At 40.8% G+C, this 19,437-nt stretch overlaps 2 long non-coding RNA genes across 5 annotated transcripts in view, besides 1 other annotated feature; one reads left to right on the forward strand and one right to left on the reverse strand.

The window, feature by feature from the left end:
* Window positions 2,092–3,291: an enhancer, noted in NCBI's record as "BRD4-independent group 4 enhancer chr12:106091383-106092582 (GRCh37/hg19 assembly coordinates)". NCBI's record gives its function as "activates an origin of replication core promoter dependent on BRD2, P300/CBP, MED14 and CDK7 cofactors, and independent of BRD4, by STARR-seq in HCT116 cells {active_cell/tissue: HCT116}" and the evidence as "EXISTENCE:reporter gene assay evidence [ECO:0000049][PMID:35650434]".
* Window positions 8,690–19,437, forward strand: part of CASC18 (cancer susceptibility 18) — a 39,861-nt gene continuing 29,113 nt past the window's right edge. For 2 of the 4 annotated variants that reach the window (NR_110109.1, NR_110108.1), the window contains exon 1: window positions 8,690–8,743. This is a non-coding gene — a long non-coding RNA (cancer susceptibility 18). Of the gene's footprint in view, window positions 8,744–11,260; window positions 11,344–19,437 lie in introns of those variants that run through there. The other 2 variants (NR_110110.1, NR_110111.2) reach the window with 1 other exon arrangement.
* LOC105369959 (uncharacterized) lies at window positions 9,603–12,514 on the reverse strand. The gene is made up of 3 exons (XR_945309.3): window positions 12,437–12,514; window positions 11,252–11,323; window positions 9,603–10,053 (listed from the first exon to the last, which is right to left on the reverse strand). It is a non-coding gene; the product is annotated as an uncharacterized LOC105369959 (long non-coding RNA).

Consider the following 19,437-nt stretch of genomic DNA (forward strand, 5'->3'; position numbering starts at 1 on the left):
TTTTTTTTTTTTTTTTTTTTTTTTTTACCAGTACCATGCTATTTTGGTGACTATGGCCTTATAGCATAGTTTAAAATCAGGTAATGTAATGCCTCCAGATTTGTTCTTTTTGTTTAGTCTTGCTTTGGCTAGGTGGGCTCTTTGTTGGTTCCATATGAATTTTAGAATTGTTTTTCTAATTGTGTGAAGAACAATGGTGGAATTTTCATGGGAATAGCATTGAATTTGTGGATTGCTTTTGGCAGTATGGTCATTTTCACAATATTGATTCTACCCATCCATGAGCATGGGATGTTTTTTCATTAGTTTGTGTCATCTATGATTTCTCTCAGCAGTGTTTTGTAGTTTTTCTTGTAGAGATCTTTCACCTCCTTGTTTAGGTATATTCCTAAGTATATATTTTTTTATTTTTGCAGCTATTGTAAAAGGGGTTGTGTTCTTCATATGATTCTCAGCTTGGTCACTGGTGGTGTATAGAAGAGCTACTGATTTGTGTACATTAATTTTGTACCCAGAAACTATGCTGAACTCTTTCATCAGTTCTAGGAGCTTTCTGGAGGAGCTTTAGGGTTTTCTAGGTAAACAATTATATCATCAGCAAACAGTGACAGTTTGACTTCCTCTTTACCAATTTGGATCTCTTTTATTTCTTTGTCTTGTCTGATTGCTCTGGCTAGGACTTCAAGTACTATGTTGAAGAGGAGTGGTGAGAGTGTGCATCCCTGTCTTGTTCCAGCTCTCAGAGGGAAGGGTTTCAACTTTTCCTCATTCAGTATTATGTTGGCTGTGGGTTTGCCATAGATGGCTTTTATTACATTGAGATATGTCCCTTGTATGGTGATTTTGCTGAGAGTTTTAATCATAAATGGATGCTGGATTTTGTCAAATGCTTTTTCTGCATCTATTGAGATGATCATGTGATTTTTGTTTTTAATTCTGTTTATGTGTTATATCACATTTATTGATTTGCATATGTTAAACCATCCCTGCATCTTTGGTATAAAACCCACTTGATCATGGTGGATTATCTTTTTGATATGTTGTTGGATTCAGTTAACTAGTATTTTGTTAAATGATTTTAGCATCTATTTTCCTCAGGGATATTGGTCTGTAGTTTTCTTTGTTGGTTATGTCCTTTACTGGTTTTGGTATTTGGGTGATACTGGCCTCATAGAATGATTTAGGGAGGGTTCCCTCTTTCTCTATCTTGTGAAATAGTGTCAATAGGATTGGTACCAATTCCTCTTTAAATGTCTGGTAGAAATCTGCTGTGAGTCTGTCTGGACCTGGACATTTTTTTGTTGGTAATTTTTACATTACCATTTCACTCTCACTGCTTGTTTTTGTCTGTTCAGGATATCTAATTCTTCCTGATTTATGCTAGAGGGTTGTATGTTTCCAGAAATTTATCCACCTCATCTAGGTTTTCTGGTTTATGTGCATAAAGGTGTTCATAGTAGCCTTGAATGATCTTTTGTATTTCTGTGGTGTGAGTTGTAATATCTCCCATTTCATTTATTATTGAGCTTATTTGGATTTTCTCTCTTCTTGGTTAATCTTGCTAATGACATATCAATTTTTACCTTTTCAAAGAGCTACTTTTTGTTTCATTTATCTTTTTTTTTTTTTTTTTTGTTTCAATTTCATTTAGTTCTACTCTGATCTTGGTTATTTCCTTTCTTCTGCTGGGTTTGGGTTTGGTTGGTTTTTGTTTCTTTAGTTCCTTGAGGTGTGACCTTACATTGCCTGTTTGTGCTCTTTCAGGCTTTTTGATGTAGGTGTTTAGGGCTACGAACTTTTCCTCTTCACATCGCTTTTGCTGTATTCCAGAGGTTTTGATAGGTTGTGTCACTATTGTCATTCAGTTCCAAGAATTTTTAAATTTCCATCTTGATTTCATTTTTGACCCAATAATTATTCAGGAGCAGGTTATTTAATTTCCATGTATTTGCATGGCTTGGATACATTGCTGGTGAGATGGTATAATCTTTTGAGGGTGTTCAAGAACTTCATTTTGTCATATTGCCAGAATTATTTTTCTGGTTCCTTCTCATCTGGGTAGACTATGTTAGAGAGAAGATCTGGAATTCAAGGGCTGCTGTTCAAATTCTTTTATCCCACAGGGTAATCCCTTGATGTGGTGTTCTCTGCTTTCCCCTAGGAATGGGGCTTCCTGACATCCAAACTGTAGTGATTGCTTTCCACGTGTGGGTCTAGCCACCCAGCGGAGCTACCAGACTCCGGGCTGGTACTGGGGAGTGTCGGCAAAGAGTCCTGTGATGTGATCCATCTTCAGGTCTTCAGCCACGGATACCAGCATCTGCTCCAGTGGAGGTAGCAGGGGAGTAAAGTGGACTCTGTGAGGGTCATTGGCTGTGTTTTTGTTTAACGCACTGGTTTTGTGTTGGTTGGCCTCCACCCAGGAGGTGGTGCTTTCAAGAGAACATCAGCTGTGATCCTATAGGGAGAATGCAAACTTGCCCTAGGGACACCTAGTTAGGTATTCAGGTTTCTCAGGTGGTGGGCAGGGCCATAGAGTCATCAAGAGATTATGACCTTTGTCTTGGGCTACCAGGGTGGGTAGAGAAAGACCACGAGGTCAGGGTGGAGATAGGCATGTCTGGGCTCAATCTCTCCTTGGGTAGGGCTTGCTGTGCTGCTGTGGGGGGTGGGGGTGTGGTTCCCAGTCTAATGGTATTGTATTCCCAGGGGGATTATGGCTCCCTCTGCTGAGTCATACAGGTCCCCAGGGACATGCAGCCCAGAGTCCTAAAAGCCAGTCTCACTCTCCCTGTGTTCCCGCCACCCCCACCCCACCAATTCACCAAGTTTACTTCCAGACAGCTGGTGACCAGGGCTGAGAACTTGCCCCAGATCATGAGCCTCCCTGTTGAGAAAGCAAGCCGACTCACAGTTTTTTGGTGTCTCAGGGAGCCTGCTGTGGTGATCCAGTTCCTTCAAAAGGTCTGTGGATTCTCTCAGCATTCTTGGTATGTTCCTGCAGTAGTTCTTGGCGCAAAAGTTCGTGATGTGATCTCCACACACTGCTCTGCCTCTCCAAGCGGGAGCTGCAAGCTAGTCCTGCCTCCTATCTGCCATCTTAATCTAAAGTTCCATGATAGTATTTTAAACCAAGTATATAAATAAATGATATAGAAAAAAGTATACAACAAGACCAGGTTGCTTTTTCTCTCTCAAAAAACACGGTTGATTTGGCATTAGAAAATTACTAATAAAGTTCAGTACGTTAATAGAAAAGAGAAGGGAAATCACATAATCGTACTGACAGATGTAGAAAAATATTTGATAACATTTAATACCAGTTCAGAACTTAAGAAGATTCATAGCAAACTAAAATAGAGGGAACTTCCTTAATTTGATAAATACCTATAAAAGAAATCTACTGAAAACTCTATATTCAATGGTAAAATATTGAACAGTTTCTTCCCAAGATTGGGGTTGAAGAAGAAATACTACTGATCTATTCACTATTCAGCATTGTATTGGAGGGCCCAGCATGTGCTATAAAGGCAAGAAAAAGGAATAAAATGCATAAAAATACAAAAAGAAGCAATTATTGTTATTCATATATGTAATGATTGTGTACCTAGAAAATTTCAAGTAATCTGACATATTAAAATCAATAGTGAATTAAGCAAAACTACAAAACATTATAAAGAGAAATTAAACAAGACCTAAATAAATACAGAGAGAAACTATGGCTTCTCCTCAAAATGAGCTAGTTTCAATGCAATCTTAATAAAAATCCAGTAGCTTTTATTGGAAATTATCAAGTTGCTTTAGAAAATTTATACGGAAATGCAAACTCCTCCCCCAACAACCAAGGCAATCTTGAGGAGGAAGAACAAGTTTAGACCTCATATACTGCTGGATGTTAAGAGTTTTATAGCTACAGTAATTAAAACAGCATGACATTCTTGACATAAAAATAGACAAACCAATGGAGCAAAATAAAATACAGATAGAGACTCACACATATATGAACACATGATTTATGACAAAGGGAATATAGTAAAGCCCTGGAAAGTGGGTACTCTCCTTAATAAAATGTTTTGGTCACATGGAAAAAATAATATTGACTCCTGTCTACATCATATTCAAAAAAACTAATTCTAGATGGATTTTGAATCTCAATGTGTAAGAAAAAAATAGTTTTTATAAGATAACATATCTTCATGATAACTGGGGTGGGCAAAGATTTCTGAAACAGGATATGAAACCACTAAACAAAATGGAATTCATTCATAAATTTGGGTATATTAAAATTAGGAATTATGTTCATTAAAGGGCACTATTTGGCGTGTGAAAATGCAAACCACCTAGTTGGAGATGTTTTAAGTATATATAACCAACAATCAGACTCATGTTTAATCTTACAAATCACTTATTTAAAAAGATAGACATGCCAGTTTAAAACTGAGCAAAATAATTAAGCACTTTACATCTAATTAAACCATAAGCACACAATAAGCTCGAGGTCATCAGGGAAAGACAAATTGAAATCATAATCCAATACCATTACAAACTTATTAGACTGACAATTTCAAATGTTGGTGAAGATGTGGAGCCACTGGAACTCTGTTTGTAGGATGAATTTGAAGGGTGAAAACTGATATGACCACTTGAAAAAACTACATTTGTATATGCTATGACTCAGAAATTTCATTTCCAAGTACGTACTTAAGATAAATGCTTATATTTATTTGCCAGAAATACCTGCAGAAGATGTAATGCCATATGAAGTACACAGCATTCCCAGTGAAGAATTCTGTCCTAAATATTCAAGCTGAATCTACTGAAGCTTATAACCTTAATCCAGTTTACAGTGAATTCAGGGTGTCTTAGACCATTGTGTTGCTATAAAGGAATACCCGAGGCTGGGTAGTTTATAAAGAAAAGAGGTTTATTTGGCTCACAGTTCTGCAGGCTATATAAGAAGCATGGTGCCAGCAACTGATTCTGGTGAGGGCTTCAGGAATCTTCTAGTCATGGCAGAAGGTGCAGAGGGAGCAGGCATGTCACATAACAAGAGAGGGAGCCATGTGACAAGCTCCCTCTGCACCTTCTGCCAAGATTAGAAGAGGGAAGAGGTGACAGACTCTTTTTAACAATCAGATCTCATGAGAACTAATATAGTGAGAACTCACTCATTACTGCAATGACAGCACCAAGTTATACATAAGGGATCCACCTCCATGACACAAACACCTCTTACTAGGTTCCACCTCCAGTGTTGGGGATCAAATGTTGACATGAGATTTTGAAGGGACAGATATCCAAACTATATCACAGGGTAAAGAGAAACATGTACCATGAGAAAACAGTTCAATCCAGAATATTACAAAATGGTCTGAACTCTTCCAAAAGTCACTGTCAAAAAAAAAAATGGCGGGCCAAAAAAATATAACATCAAATGCAATGCATGAACCAAGACTGAATCTTGATTGAGAAAAAAATCACCTCTAAAAGACAGTCTTGTGACGGTTGGGGAAATTTGAATGCTCAATATCAGATGTTATTTTAAAGTTACCATTATTTTTCAGGGTGTGAAAATGATATAGAGGCGTGTTCTTATACTCAGGAGGTACCTGCTGACATATTTATGGGTGAAGTGTCATGATATCTGCAACTTATTTTCAAATATTTAGCAAAAAAACAATGTATAGATGGATGATAGATGAATGGATGTAGATGCAGCTCTAAAAATAGCATGAGAAATAAGGTAAATACGACAAAATGTTAACAGTTGTTTAATTTAGGCAGTGGGTATTTGGTGTTTATTTTGCCATTTTATCAACTTATCTGTATATTTAAAATTTTAATATATTCCTGAATTATGTATTTTAATAGGATTTTGTACTTAGCTTATTTAGAAGGTACAAATATGTTTTACTCTACTTTAAGAAAATAAACATTAGAAGTTCTAGAATATATATTATCGGTATAGGTTATGTTAGAAAGAGTACTGAAACTCCAATCAGAGAACTTAAAGTGGAAAAAAATTAAAAAACCCTTTGGCTCCACATTAGAGGTCTGGCTCATGAATATACATTTATATATTTCAGGTTAAAATAAAATACTTACTGTATACATACATCACCTTTTAATGATTCCCAGATTGAGCTACGTTTTTCCAATGAGCCAACCAGCTACTAGTGCCAGTTAACTCCAGATGAGAGGGATTCCTCTGTATACTTTGTGTATGGAAAGAATGTAGCATCCAGCTAATAACTGGTTCAGTGATTGTGATTGGAATAGCCATCTGTTAGTGTAGTTGGGTATTCCAAGAGATAACAGGATGAGTGAAGACTGTCCTGGCCTTCTAGGGAGCCTCATGCAATATGGTGGCGAGAAGCCCAGGTCTTGAAGCAGAGGGACATGTGGTTAATTCCTGGAGGTATAATCTTGGGAAAATCACTTAACCAACATGAGCCTCAGTTTTCTCATATGAAGGATGAGACCTACCTCGCAGAGTTTTGGTAGGGCTTAAATGTGACCATGACTCTATAGCAACTGTATAATGTGGGTGCACCAGCAACAATGAATTAATTGTTGGTGGTATCATGTATAGGAATGTCTAGTCAGAGGAAGAGAGTTCTAAGGCTGTAGTTGCTGCTGAAGACACATAGTAAATAGGGGTTCTGCTGTTTCAAAAAAAATTCTAAAAGGGAGAAATGGGCTAAATTTATCAAGCATGCTTAAAAACAACCTGACTCATAAATTGGCTAGACCAATTTTCTACAAAAGATTCCCAGGATCATAGGCATTGGTATCACCTGCTGCACTTTTTCAAGATGTAGACTCCTGAGCCAAGCCCTGTACCTACTGGGTCAGAAGCTCTCGACATGAGGCCTGAGAAGCTTTATTTTAACAGGTATGAAAGCCACTGAGTGTTGAGACTGTCTACCCTGTTCACTGCTGTATTCCCTGCACCTAGCAGAATGTCTGAGGAGCTCAGTAAATCCTGGGTGATTAAATGGACGAACAGATGAATCAATAACATGACTCTGACAAATAGGGCAGAGTAGGAGTTCTGATTTCTGCTCTTTCTTACATATGCCTTAGGCTGCAAGTTGCCTTCTCCTCTCTTCTTTTTCCTTTTAACGCTGTCCTTAGGGTCGTCATCACCTGATTTTACTGCAGAGACTTGGTGAGGCAGAAAAAGGTGAACCCCGGGCTTTTCCCTGCCTGAGAAGTCCCAACCTGTGAGCTAGATTTATATACAGCAGTGGATTGAGCAGTGCTTCTCAATCCTGGCTGCACTTTAGAATGACCTGAGGCTTGGCCCGCACCCTAGACAAATTAAATCAGAATAACTGGAATGGAGGTCCAGGTATTGAAATTTTTCAAAAGCTCCCAAGTGATTCTGTTTCATAGTGAAGTTGAGAACCACTGGCAAACCATAATATGGATACCTCTAAAAATCTTAGTGTTGAGTGCAAAAGGTGGTAAACGATTTATAGCACGTTACTACTTAAGGATATTAAACTTTAATATACACACAAAACCAAGTTCTGTGTTTTTTGGAGATAATCTAAGGACATATAAGAAATCCCAGGAAGGAAGACAGGAGAGGGAAATGGGAGGAAACAGGAGCGAGAATAGAGAATAAATGGGGAAATATAAAATAAAACAAGACAGCGAGATTACACAGACCTTAAAGACTAAAAAGCGTGGCTCCCAAACATCAAATCACCATAGTTAGTATGAACAGGGCAGTCATGTGTACTAGACACAGTGTAATTGGTTTACACACCTTATGTCTGTTAATCTTCATAACAACTCTGAGGTAGGTGTTACTATTTAGAGTCATTTTATAGAGGAGGAAACTAAGGCTTAACCAAGATCATACAACTAGTAAGTGACAGATTTGGGTATAAGCCCTGTCTACCTGGATGGAGTCCAGGCTCTGTTTGCTCCATTCATCACCTCTTTGAGTCCTCTCGAGCACCTGCTGGAAAGAAAATGTCCTCCTCCCCAAGCCCACGTCTCTGCTAGGCAGCTCAGGAACCACCAGCACATACTTCATCCCAGCCCTTGCCAAAGATGGGAATGAGAATGACCATCCAATGTTCTGTGCCCAATGCAGAAGAAAACCTACACATACAACCTTCCTGACCTGGAAACATCCAAAATCAGCCTCAGTTTCCTAATGAGCCTTTCCCTGCCTGAAAAGTCCCAACCCGTGAGCTAGATTTATATACAGCAGTGGATTGAGCAGTGCTTCCCAATCCTGGCTGAAGACGAGCAATGTTTGTTGGGTTCAAGGAATAGAAAAAAGCCTCGCATGGCTGGAATAGAAGAGGAAGATGGTGGGTGCTGCAGCAGAGAAGGCAGGGGCTCAGAGCTCTTCACTTCCCACCAGACATTCCTTTTCCCTTGGGGATGGACTGAGCATGTGGAAGATTTTCCATGCAACTTCATATCCACTGTTCACAACACCTGCCTCTGAGGACGTGATCTTCCTACCAATCTCAGGACCTTTCAAAATTAATTATAATAAAAATGTATTTATTGAGGCAGGCATAAATATTAGTCTCCATTTTCTTCAGAGAAAACAGAAGCATACAGCGGTAGCTTGAACAAAATTTCCCAACCAGAAAGGGATGAGGGAGGAGAGACCGGAAGTACAAGCTCCTCTTATCTGAGTTGCCGCCGTCTAGAGGTGAGCTGATTTTCTGACAGCCCCTTCTCCTCTCCTCACTGGATATCCAGTTTCCAGGTAGGTCCTTCCAGGTAGGCGCCCCCCTGACCTCAATGCGTGCTCCAGCTCTGGGGTGCATTCACAGGGGTAGGACATAGAAGGTAAACTCTGACCAGCTGCATGTGCAGCTACCTCTGCAGAAAAAATCAAGAGGCGCTGGAAGCCCTTCTCCCTTTGCTTAACAACATCTCCCCTGCTGCCCCACAGCAGTATCTGAAGTTCCCCTGTTGGCTTATGGAAATAAAGGCTTTTGTTAAAATATAAATCTGTAATCTGACGGGATGTGAAAAGATTAAGGGACGGGCTGCCCAAACTTTACTGTGCTTGACACTCAACTTATAAGTGTATTGGAAATGCAGATCTTAGGTTCTTATACCACAGATTCTGATTCAACAGGCACCAAATGGGGCCCAGGTAGCTGCAATTCCAACAAACACTTCAGGTGTTTCTGATGCTCGTGTTCTCTGAATCTCGTTTTGAGAAACACTGTGTGACTATGAACTCTTCAATTAGTTAATGAGACTTGGCCCAGAGGTCAATTTTGTCTATAATGAAGCAGAGAGGAGAAAGACACAGCTGCTCCCCCTCTGACTTGGTCTTTCTCTGTCCCGTTCAAAGCTGTGTTCATAGCTCAGGGCTTTAAGAGAGAGTGTTCAGAGCCCTAACTCAGAAGGACCGCCTGGAGACCTGCCAGGGTTTTGCCTAGACACACGTCACACCTTTACAGGGGTGGCGAAGGCTTGTGCTATCTCAAGACCTCACGCAGTACTTCTCAGTTTAATGGGCCCACTCAAGAGGTAAACGTGGAAAAAGAAAAGTTATATGCACACACACCCACACCCACACCCACACCCACACACACACACACACAGAGCAATAAAACAGGAGCAATTTATTCATAAGATTCTAAGTCATGAATTGTCTCTACTTACAAAATATTAGCCTATAAATTATGATTCTGCCAAGCTTCATTTTGAACAAACCCACAATCTCAGAAACATCAGCAGTTCAACTGCAGAGAGAGATGATGAGGTGGCTTGAGAAGAGTGACAGAAATGTCTCTGGATGGGATTCTGGACCTTCTGGGAGGAGGCTTCTTTGAAGGCCACCTGGCGATCGCGTGGTTTCTGATTCTCCCCGTAGTGATCGTGCCTTCCCAGGTACTGAATGGATCTCTTTGAGCTCTTTGCGTGGCCGATGTGTGAACTTTTGGCATGGCCAGTGTGTTCAGTGGGAGTGCTGGGGTTTACAATTGGAGGAAGGATACCGACTCCCTTTATGGCTGGAGCTTCTTGGGATTCCTAAGTGTCACCTTGGTCCACAAGTAGCTGTTAAAAATTAGAAAAAAGTCAGCTGTTTGTCTTCTCATTCTTCTACAGGGCTCCCAGAGATTAAGACAGCCGAGCCTTCCTCTCCCTGAAGGGCCCATCTCTTTCTGAAATTTAAATAATTTGGGCATTTAAAAAAATGTACAATTAAATTATTATTGACTACAGTCCTCGTTTTGTGCTATCAAATACTAGGCGTTATTCATCCGGAAAAGTGATACTTTGAATTGTGGTGATACAGTGTTTCAACAGATCCTTATATCCTTCCAAAGTCTTGAATGCTATTACAACAGGGCGTCACATGAGGGCGCTCTAGAGAATCCGCAAGAGCAAATTCCGTAGTAAATGGGGAGGAGGGAGTTGTTATTAATAGATTTTACTTTTTAGTTTGAGTTTCCTTAGTCTAGAAGGACTCACAGAATTCCCAACTGTGCTTGCATGCCTGCTGTGCCCAGCGTGTGAGTGTGAGTGTATGTGTGTGTGTATGTGTGTGTGTGATGCACGCATGGAGGGGTTAGGGAGGATGCAGGAATAGAAGTTGATGAGGGACAAAGGGGAGGGAAAATTAAAATGATGAGCTTCAGAAGTCACCTTCTTTACAATTTGAGAGGCAATGTTCTGCTCCTATCTCTTGAAATGTCCTCTATCTCTTCCTTTCAAGGGAAAAAACACCAGTTCCCACCCAAGAGTTCTCCAGGACAAGGGAGGCCCTGGAGAAATGCAGTCAGAGGCAAATGGGAACAGATAGCTGCTTGTCAGCGCAGGTGCATCTCTTCCAGTCCACTTTGGCTGAGACTAACCTGACCTTGCTGAGCCCTGGCCTTGCCGTCAGCTTGCGCTGACAACAGGAGACCAGGCCACACTCTCCTAGCAGCTGCCCAGGCGAGGCTCATGCCCCAGAAAAAGCAGCTCCAGTTACACATTAGTCACAGAAATAACAATGATCAAAGGGAGCCAAAGGCATGAAATGGCTTCATTTTCCCAATTTAATTATGGGACTGGAGGATCCATTTCAATCTGGAAGGAGCCTGATTTCAACTTGTTATAAAATGGTTGGATAAAGTGCTGTATATTATTTTTTGTTTCTACCCTCATCCCTCCTCCCCATCTGCAATACAAGTTTTCATAGGCTTTTGAGTCCTTTTCAGCCCCTCCCTGTAGACGCACGATAAGAAACATAAATATGCCCCTTTCTTACTTGAGTCCTACTCGTGATGCTGATGCGCCCAATTAGAGTCTGTAGTTAAGGCCCCTGGGATTGTTCTGGGCCCTGGAAAAGAATGGCAGCAGGTGAGTGATGAGAGGTCCTCCCCCTCAGGGCAAGTGCAATGGCCTCATTGAGAAAGTATTCAGCCATCTGTAAAAAGGGGCCTATGGCAGTGGGGTCAGATGACAATGCCCCACATGCTTTAGTGGTTAAGATGCTTCAGTGCTCAGATGCTTTAGTGGCTACAAGTTTTTTACTGGGCTGAGAAAGATGTGGATCAAAGCTGTGTTCCAGGTACATGTGATGGGCTTTCTATCCCCTGCCACACACACCCACACACATGCACACACGTGCACACACACATATACACGTGGACCCTCTTGCCCCAAAGCCAGGCCTTGAGCTTTGAAAGGCTAGAGGCAAGAATTAGACCGGGGATGTGTATTTCTGTCCTTAGAAGTTGGCTGGCTGTTTTATACTTACTAAATGACAAAGTGTGATGAAATTGTTGCCTAGTAAGGACAAAGCCACAAGGTTTTTTTTTGTTTTGTTTTGTTTTGCAGAGGGGAGGGGAAGGGCAATGATGAGACAATTCTTTTTGGGTCAACCATCGTACATAGCACATAGAAGATTTGACTGGGACCACATAGTGAATGGCGTCCTTTAGAGCTTACATGGGCGCACAGAATCAGGCAGGGGCTAGAAGTCAGGGGTGCAGTTTCTAGACCAGCTCTGCCGCTGACTTGCCCTGTAAATTTGGGAGGGACTCCTCTCCACTCCGGGGTTCATGTTCTTCCTCTGGACTGGGCGATTTCTCTCTCTGCACCTTTTCGCTCCAAGGATCTACTAGTCCATGTCTCTCTGATGCTTAAACATCTGTGTGCAGCATTTTTAGGAGGCCTCTTTCCTCTGCAAAATAAGAGGCCTCTGCTCTTACATTACTTTGGGATATGTTTGGAATTTTACTTATTCTCCACAAGATTTAACTGTAGTACAAGGTGAGTCTTTTTCCTACTTCCCGGGAATTAACCTATGGCATAAATTACAGGCAGGAAATAGATGGAGCAGATAAACATGGAAGGCTTGCTTTCTTTTCCTCTTCGTCTTTCCTTGAACTTTTTTGCACATCCATATTAAAACCCGTTTCTGGCTTTCTCCCTTCACACTCCTACTTACGGGGTTTACAGAACGAGGATCTCTCGGCAAGATCAAACTTGGTCTCCCCTCATATAAAATTTGACTGAGCTCCTCCTCGTGAAATGGATTCACCTTTTGTACTGGGAAAAAAAAAAGGTTTTTAAAGTAGTTAAAGTAAAAAAAAAAAATAAGGACGGAATCTGCACGAGGCAAAATTACATTGATATCTTCTCTTAAACAAAGAGGATAGATTTCTTTACAAATTCTGTATGTCCAGATACCATTTAGAAGCAAACTCTGATTTCACATTGAGGCTGAAAATGTGTATACTCAAAGCTGATAAGAAGCCACACATAGAGTAATTTATGTCTTATATTTTATGTGATATACTTGACAACATAAATAATCACATAGGAAGGCCTCTGTTTAGCATTGGCAAATAAGAACACAGACTATTTATGTATGGGTGAAAGAGAGTGGAAAGAATTTTAACCTTGAAACTCCTTGTCTATTGACTATTTAGGATCCTAGTCTTTTTTTTTTTTTTTTTTGGAGATGGAATCTCACTCTGTTGCCCAGGTAGGAGTGCAGTGACGTGATCTTGGCTCACTGCAACCTCCACCACCTAGGTTCGAGTGATTCTCCTACCTCAGCCTCCCAATTCGCTGGGACTACAGGCATGCACCACCATGCTGGCTAATTTTTGTATTTTTAGCAGAGAGGGGGTTTCACCGTATTGGCCCGGCTGGTCTCAAACTCCTGACCTCAGGTGATCTGCCCGCCTCGGCCTCCCAAAATGCTGGGATTACAGGTGCCAGCCACCACATTCAGCCTGGATCCTAATCTTGAAGCTGGATATACAAGGAATTTTGTCCTCGTCACATTTAATATTTATTAATTTTTTAAAAAAGGGCAGCAGAATAGAAAATGGGGTTTTAATTTTGTAATATCTAGATTCACTTCTGGTTTAATAGGGTGGCACTTTTAGTGGGCATTAGAATCTCTGGGGGAACTTGTTTAAAATGTTGATTGTCAGGCCTCATCTCTCAGAGTGTTGATTCTGTAAGCTATATTGGGTGCAAAAATCTGTATTTTAACAGGCATTTCATGATGAATGATGTGCCTCTAGTCCGGGGAGATTGTAATTTAAGAAACATTTGTCTAATACATACTCAATTTTGTCCAGATAGAATTTTTCTATTTTTGTTTTAACTATTTTATATACTCAAAGGCTTACATGTACTATTACTATTATAGTTTAACTTTATTCAATGGCATTGTATAGATTGCAATACATGCTGGTTGGAGGCCACATCTTATTCATCCTTCTAGTCTCAGAACTTAGTGCACTGCCTGTGACACAGTAGACTCTCAAAATCTGTTCATGAATCTCACTGAGCCAAGGGTGCAGCTGTGATTTAAAGTAGCTGCAATCTCAGATCTTGATCACTCAGCCTTAAACTCTGAAGGACAAAACACAAACACTCTCTGACCTCTAAAAAGGCCAATGGTGCATCTTTGCACTAATTCATGCTCTCAGACATAGACACTTCTCGTTTGAGCAGAATCTGTAACAAGCTTGCTTATTTTGTTTCCCAGTTTAAAGGAAATGAAGGAGAATTAGAAGAGGTACCCAATAGCTCATCCTTCCCCTGTCATCACGCAGGCCCCATGGTCTCCTGCCGGAGACACTTTCCCCGTCTCTGTAACTGTCTGAAACCTACCCATCATCTGAGGCACAGCTGAGGTCTCACTGGGAAGCCTGCCCTGACCATTCTCACCTCCCCTTCTGATCTTCCATGGCACTTGTACATCTAGCAGCTCATCTGAACCAGTCCTCACTCTGACCCACCAAATCTTTATTGCCTTTGCTCTCCCTATCACCCACCTTAGAGATACCGGTTAAAGCTAGAGTCCTAATCCCCTCTTCTTCCCACATTCCTGAGATCTGCAGTAGAAGATGTAAATGGTTTCTAAGTCAAGTATGTTGTTGAAAATCTGTAGTATGTACTGCTCAATAAGCAGCTCAAACATCTCCTACCTTAGAATCTTATTTATCTTTTCATATATATTGAACCCACCCCAAATCCTATTACTTTCTTGAAAACCTCACAAATCCATCCACCTTTCTTCATCTCCACCACCACTTCTCTTGCTAGTCCAAGTTACCTGCCTGTCTTACTCAGGCTTTCGTCCTAATTTTTCGCTTGTTATTTACACATTCCAGTTTTTCTCCACCTAGTAGCCAGAGTGATCTCAAAATGCAAAATGATCTTATCTCTTCCTGGCTTAAATGCTGCATGGTTTCCCATTCCTCTTTTAAGATAGATGACACTTCTCAACATGAACTACAAGGCCCTGCCTGGTGTGAACCCTGCCTACTTCTCCAACTTCATCTTCCAACAAGCTCATTTTGTTTTCTCTGCTCCAGCCACCATGGCCTTCTTTCAGTTTCTCATACTTTCTCGACTCCCTTCTACCACAGAGACTTTGCACACACTGATGCTTGTGTTTGGTCTTCCCTCATCTCTTCATTGAAGTAGCTGCTATTCATAGGGCATAAATCAGCTCAAATCCTTCTCTGATTTCCCTGGCTAGGTCATAACCTCGTCCCATAATACCATGGATCTTCCTTCAGAACATTTAAAGCAGTTTAGCACAGTTTTGAGTTTACAGGTATCTTTGTTTTTGCTTGATTGATATCTGTTTCTGCAATTGACTAGGAGCTTCCTGAGGACAGGGATCGTATCTGGTTTTGCTCACCAGATATGATCTGTCTCAAGTATTTAGTTCAATCCTTGTGAAATGACAGGCACTTGATAAATAGTTGTTAATGATGAAAGTTGGATAGATTTATTCAACAACACTAAATGTGACATTCTCTGGGGATGTGAATATATTATTAGATATTGCCCTTTATATTTAGAATCTCATCATCTAGTGCAGAAAACAGACTTTAAAGCTGTTAATTTCAGGAATGTAGTAATATAAGGATGACCATATATCTTGGAATACAAAGAAGAGAGCAATGAAATATACCCAAAGGAATCTGTGGAGATGTCGTGGAGAATGTAATATTTGAGATGTGTCTTGAAAGATAAATATGAGCATTCAAAATGGAGAAACACCCAAACGGATGGAAAGCATATGCAAATGGCTGAAGGTGGGCCATAGGATAAAGTTCTGGAAGGTGTTGGGTTGGGGTGATGGGGCATGGATAAGGAATGGGTGGCAGATTGAGGTAAAAGAACTTGCTAAGAGTATTGGACTAAAAGAAACAGAGCCAATAGAAGTACAAATAAAATAAATTCAAGGATGCTTATGTGTTAGGTCACTCAGACTGGAGTGAGGAATGATGGGGAGCTAGAGAGAAAAATAAAGCAACTTCACTATTTCAGATGAGAAAAAATGGGGGCTTGTGCAAAGGCAGTCATAGCAAAGTAGGAGGAAAGGTAACTTTGAGAGATGTTTCAGAGGAAGAATCAGCAAGACTGGGTGACCAGCTTGATGTGAGCCTTGAGAGAGAGGAAGAAGTATAAGGTCATTCAAGTTAAGTAGACTAGTAAGATGGTGGAATTGCTAACCATCATAAAAAAATTCTCCAGGAGAACAGATTTGGGAATGAAGGAAGAGATGAACAGCTCAGTTTTGAGCTTGCTGAGTTTTAGGTGCCTAGGAAACATCTAGTTAGAAATTTTCAGGAGGAGGTTGGACAATCACAAGGCTAAAGGCAAGGGGCTTCCTATGACTACCTGTGACTTTTGTTCTCTGACATTGGTGGCAACTTATAAGAATACATCACACTTGTGTGTCTTTAAAAAGACAATAAGCAGTATCTGTCACCTGCCTGGAGCCAGGTACATCATCACCATAGCAATGGACCATTCAGACAATAGTTTCATTGAAGGAGAGTCACATGCTGTCTGAATAATTGAAAAGGCACCTCCAGCATTCAAGTGGAGCTTTAACTTGGCATTAACTAACAACAGGTGGATGCTGGCTAGCCAAGTGAGTAGAACTCTATTAAGATTTAATATTACTGTAATAGGGCACAGAAAACACCTACAAACGATCGTTACATTCAATTTTACCATCTTCATCTACAGAGGCCACTCAGTGTTCTGGGGTTTGGCATGGCTGGGGTTGGGGGGTGGGTAGCTATCTCCCCTGGGTTCCCTCTTATTTTAAACCACTCACTGATTTCTTCATCCATGTAATAGCTGCAGCATCTAGGTTCTAAATCTCTTGGGAGGATGTGAGGACACCAGCTTTTGTCTTCGCTCTTGATTAAATGCATGGTCTCTAGAGCCAGAGAGCTTTGAGTGCAAATCTTGGCTCGGGTACTTATTGACTACGTGATTAACTTTATTTTTGTGCCTCAGTTTCATTTTCTGTAAGTCAGACTAGTAATGATAGCTATTTCAGGTGTTTTGTTTGTCTGTTTTTTGTGATGATTTGTGATCCCTTTAGGGGAAAGCCTGCCTCTTAGGAAGTGCTTCATTACTGGATCTTGAAGTTCAGGAATTGCAAACTGGAGTATTTTTCTTGATAATCAGTGTCTTAAAAAACAAATTTAAACACCTTTAGAGGAGCAGTTATCATCCAGTTCTTCAGGCCCCGCTAATCTCCATGGCTTTGATACTCTTCCCATTTGCACATTTTTCTTAATCTACTGGCCCATATATATTTTTGAGTCTACAGACCCCAATGCAGCCCAATTTTAGAAAGCACTTCATATTGTGGCCTAATGATGGGAGGGAGGACAGTTTCTTCTAGTCTTTAAAACTAAGAACAATCTGCCTATATGGCAGCAGGATAAACATTTGTGTGGTTGGAAGAGGCTAATCAAATCTCAGTGATTTTGAAACTCCACAATTTAAGAATAATTCTTGGCTGGGCACAGTGGCTCACACCTGTAATCCAAGGCTAAAGGATCACTTGAGCCCAGGAGTTTGAGACCAGCTTGGGCAACATAGTGAGACCCTGTCTCTACAAAAAACAATTTTAAAAAATTAGCTAGGCATGGTGGCATGAGAACCCATAGTCCCAGCTGCTCAGGAGGCTGAGGCAGGAGGATTGCTTGAGCCTGGGAGGTTGAGGCTGTAGTGAGCTGTGATTGTGCCACTGCACTCCAACCTGGATGACAGAATGAGACCTCACCTCAAAAAAAAAAAAAGAATAATTCCTTTGGAGGAAGTGCCATGGGGTTGGGGATATTCGGGGAAGCAGGGACTAGTAAGGTCAGTTTCAGATATAAGTAGCACCTTGAGGTCCAGAGATAAAGCCCCTGTGAATTTCTGACCCAGGCAAAATATTGCAGTGTTGTCTGAACCAGGTGGAAGATGAGTCTTTATTCCAACTAAGTGTGGCCCTCAAATGAACCCTCAGTGGTGTTAAAGCAAACTAAATATGGCCTGAGAAGGACTCCATAGTTCTATATTTGAATCCTTGTGATGAAATATAACCTAGCTTAATAGTCAGACAAAACTGAAAAGCTAACTTAGTAGTATGCACCTTTAACAATAGCTGAGTGTTGGCCAATCCCAGAGGCCATACTTCAACCACTCATAGACTGCTGAGTTTTCAAACTGTGTTTAAATAAGGCAAACGCCAACCTATAACCAAGCTCACTGTTTCTGTACCTCACTTCCTATTCCTGTACGTCACTTTACCCTTTTTGTCTATAGATTTATTCTGACCATAGGGCACCCTTAGAGACTCTGTGAATCTGCTGTGATTCTGCCCAATTTGCGAATCGTTCATTGCTCAATTAAACTCCTTTAAATTTAGTTCAGCTGAAGTTTTTCTTTTATCAGTGGGCTGGGCCTCTTTACTGTGAATCAGGCGATGTCCATGGTGCTTTGTCACAGCAGTTCTTTTCTTCTCAAGCTAGCTCATGTTTTTCAGAGTTGGTTTTGGAAAACATCAGACTTGCAGATAGGCAGGAGTGACAATGAAGGTGTTCATTCCTGTACCCTTCCCCCATCATTTGCACATGACCCAAGCTGGTTCATTTTCAGGAAGCAGGGGACATAGCAAAAATAAATTCATGAATAAGGCTAATTATGTTCAATGACAAGGCTAGCACCAAGCTGTTTTTAAACATAAATTCAGTCACTCAGACCACACAATTGAAACCCTCAGCAAAAGTGCAGAGAGTTCTCTGAAAGCTACTCACAGCTGCTACAGTTCATTCCAGCCCCTCCCGGAAAATTCCAAACAGAGGACATATGCCCTAGACACTGCCTGCCCTGTATGTCCTGATGTTAATCCCCAGGGGAAAACTTGATTGGATTCAATGACAAAGCTAGCATCAAGCTGTTTTTAAATTAAACTTTCCTTGTTAAGGAAAAGGGAACTATCTGTGGCCCATGACTTTTGAACTTAGAAATATCTATATGGCCCATTAAAAATCAGCCTCATTCATTTGTTTGTTTGTTGCGTTGCTTCATTTTGCTTTGCTTTCTTATATGTAGGGATAACTTGAAGCAACATTGGAAAATATTGGAAGTATGTCTTCACCACTCTTTCTCTCTGTACCTTTCTTTAGCCTTTTGAGGTAACAATATTCAATGAGCCAGATCCTTGGCCGATAATGGCTAGGCTACTAACCGATTGAGCTGGAGAACTTAAGGAAAGCTACTTTCCCTTTGGAGGCCACTGCTATGCCATCAATAAAACGAAGAGTTGGACCTGTTGATCTAACACCAATTAATGTGCTGTTAGTTTCTCTGCTGAACCTCTTACGCTAGAAAAGAGTTCACTCATGCATGGACCTTGTTGCAGCTACTTTCCATCCCTGTGCCCAGGGCTGACATCACTAATCAATCATATCCCTCTTTCTGAGAGTAGACTCAGCCTCATGCCCCTTTTAACACACCACTCTAAGAAGCCAACACCAATGGAATAGCGTTGTACTCAAGTAGAACACCCTTTGCCCTCCCAACTCTGTGACTATTCTGACCCCCTCCCTGTCATTAAATCATACTTGTTTATGTTGAATTAGCCATTTTTTCCCTCCATCTTAAAGCTGGTGAGGT

The sequence above is a fragment of the Homo sapiens genome, chromosome 12 (assembly GCF_000001405.40).
Source record: "Homo sapiens chromosome 12, GRCh38.p14 Primary Assembly".
Classification (NCBI taxonomy): Eukaryota; Metazoa; Chordata; class Mammalia; order Primates; family Hominidae; genus Homo; species Homo sapiens.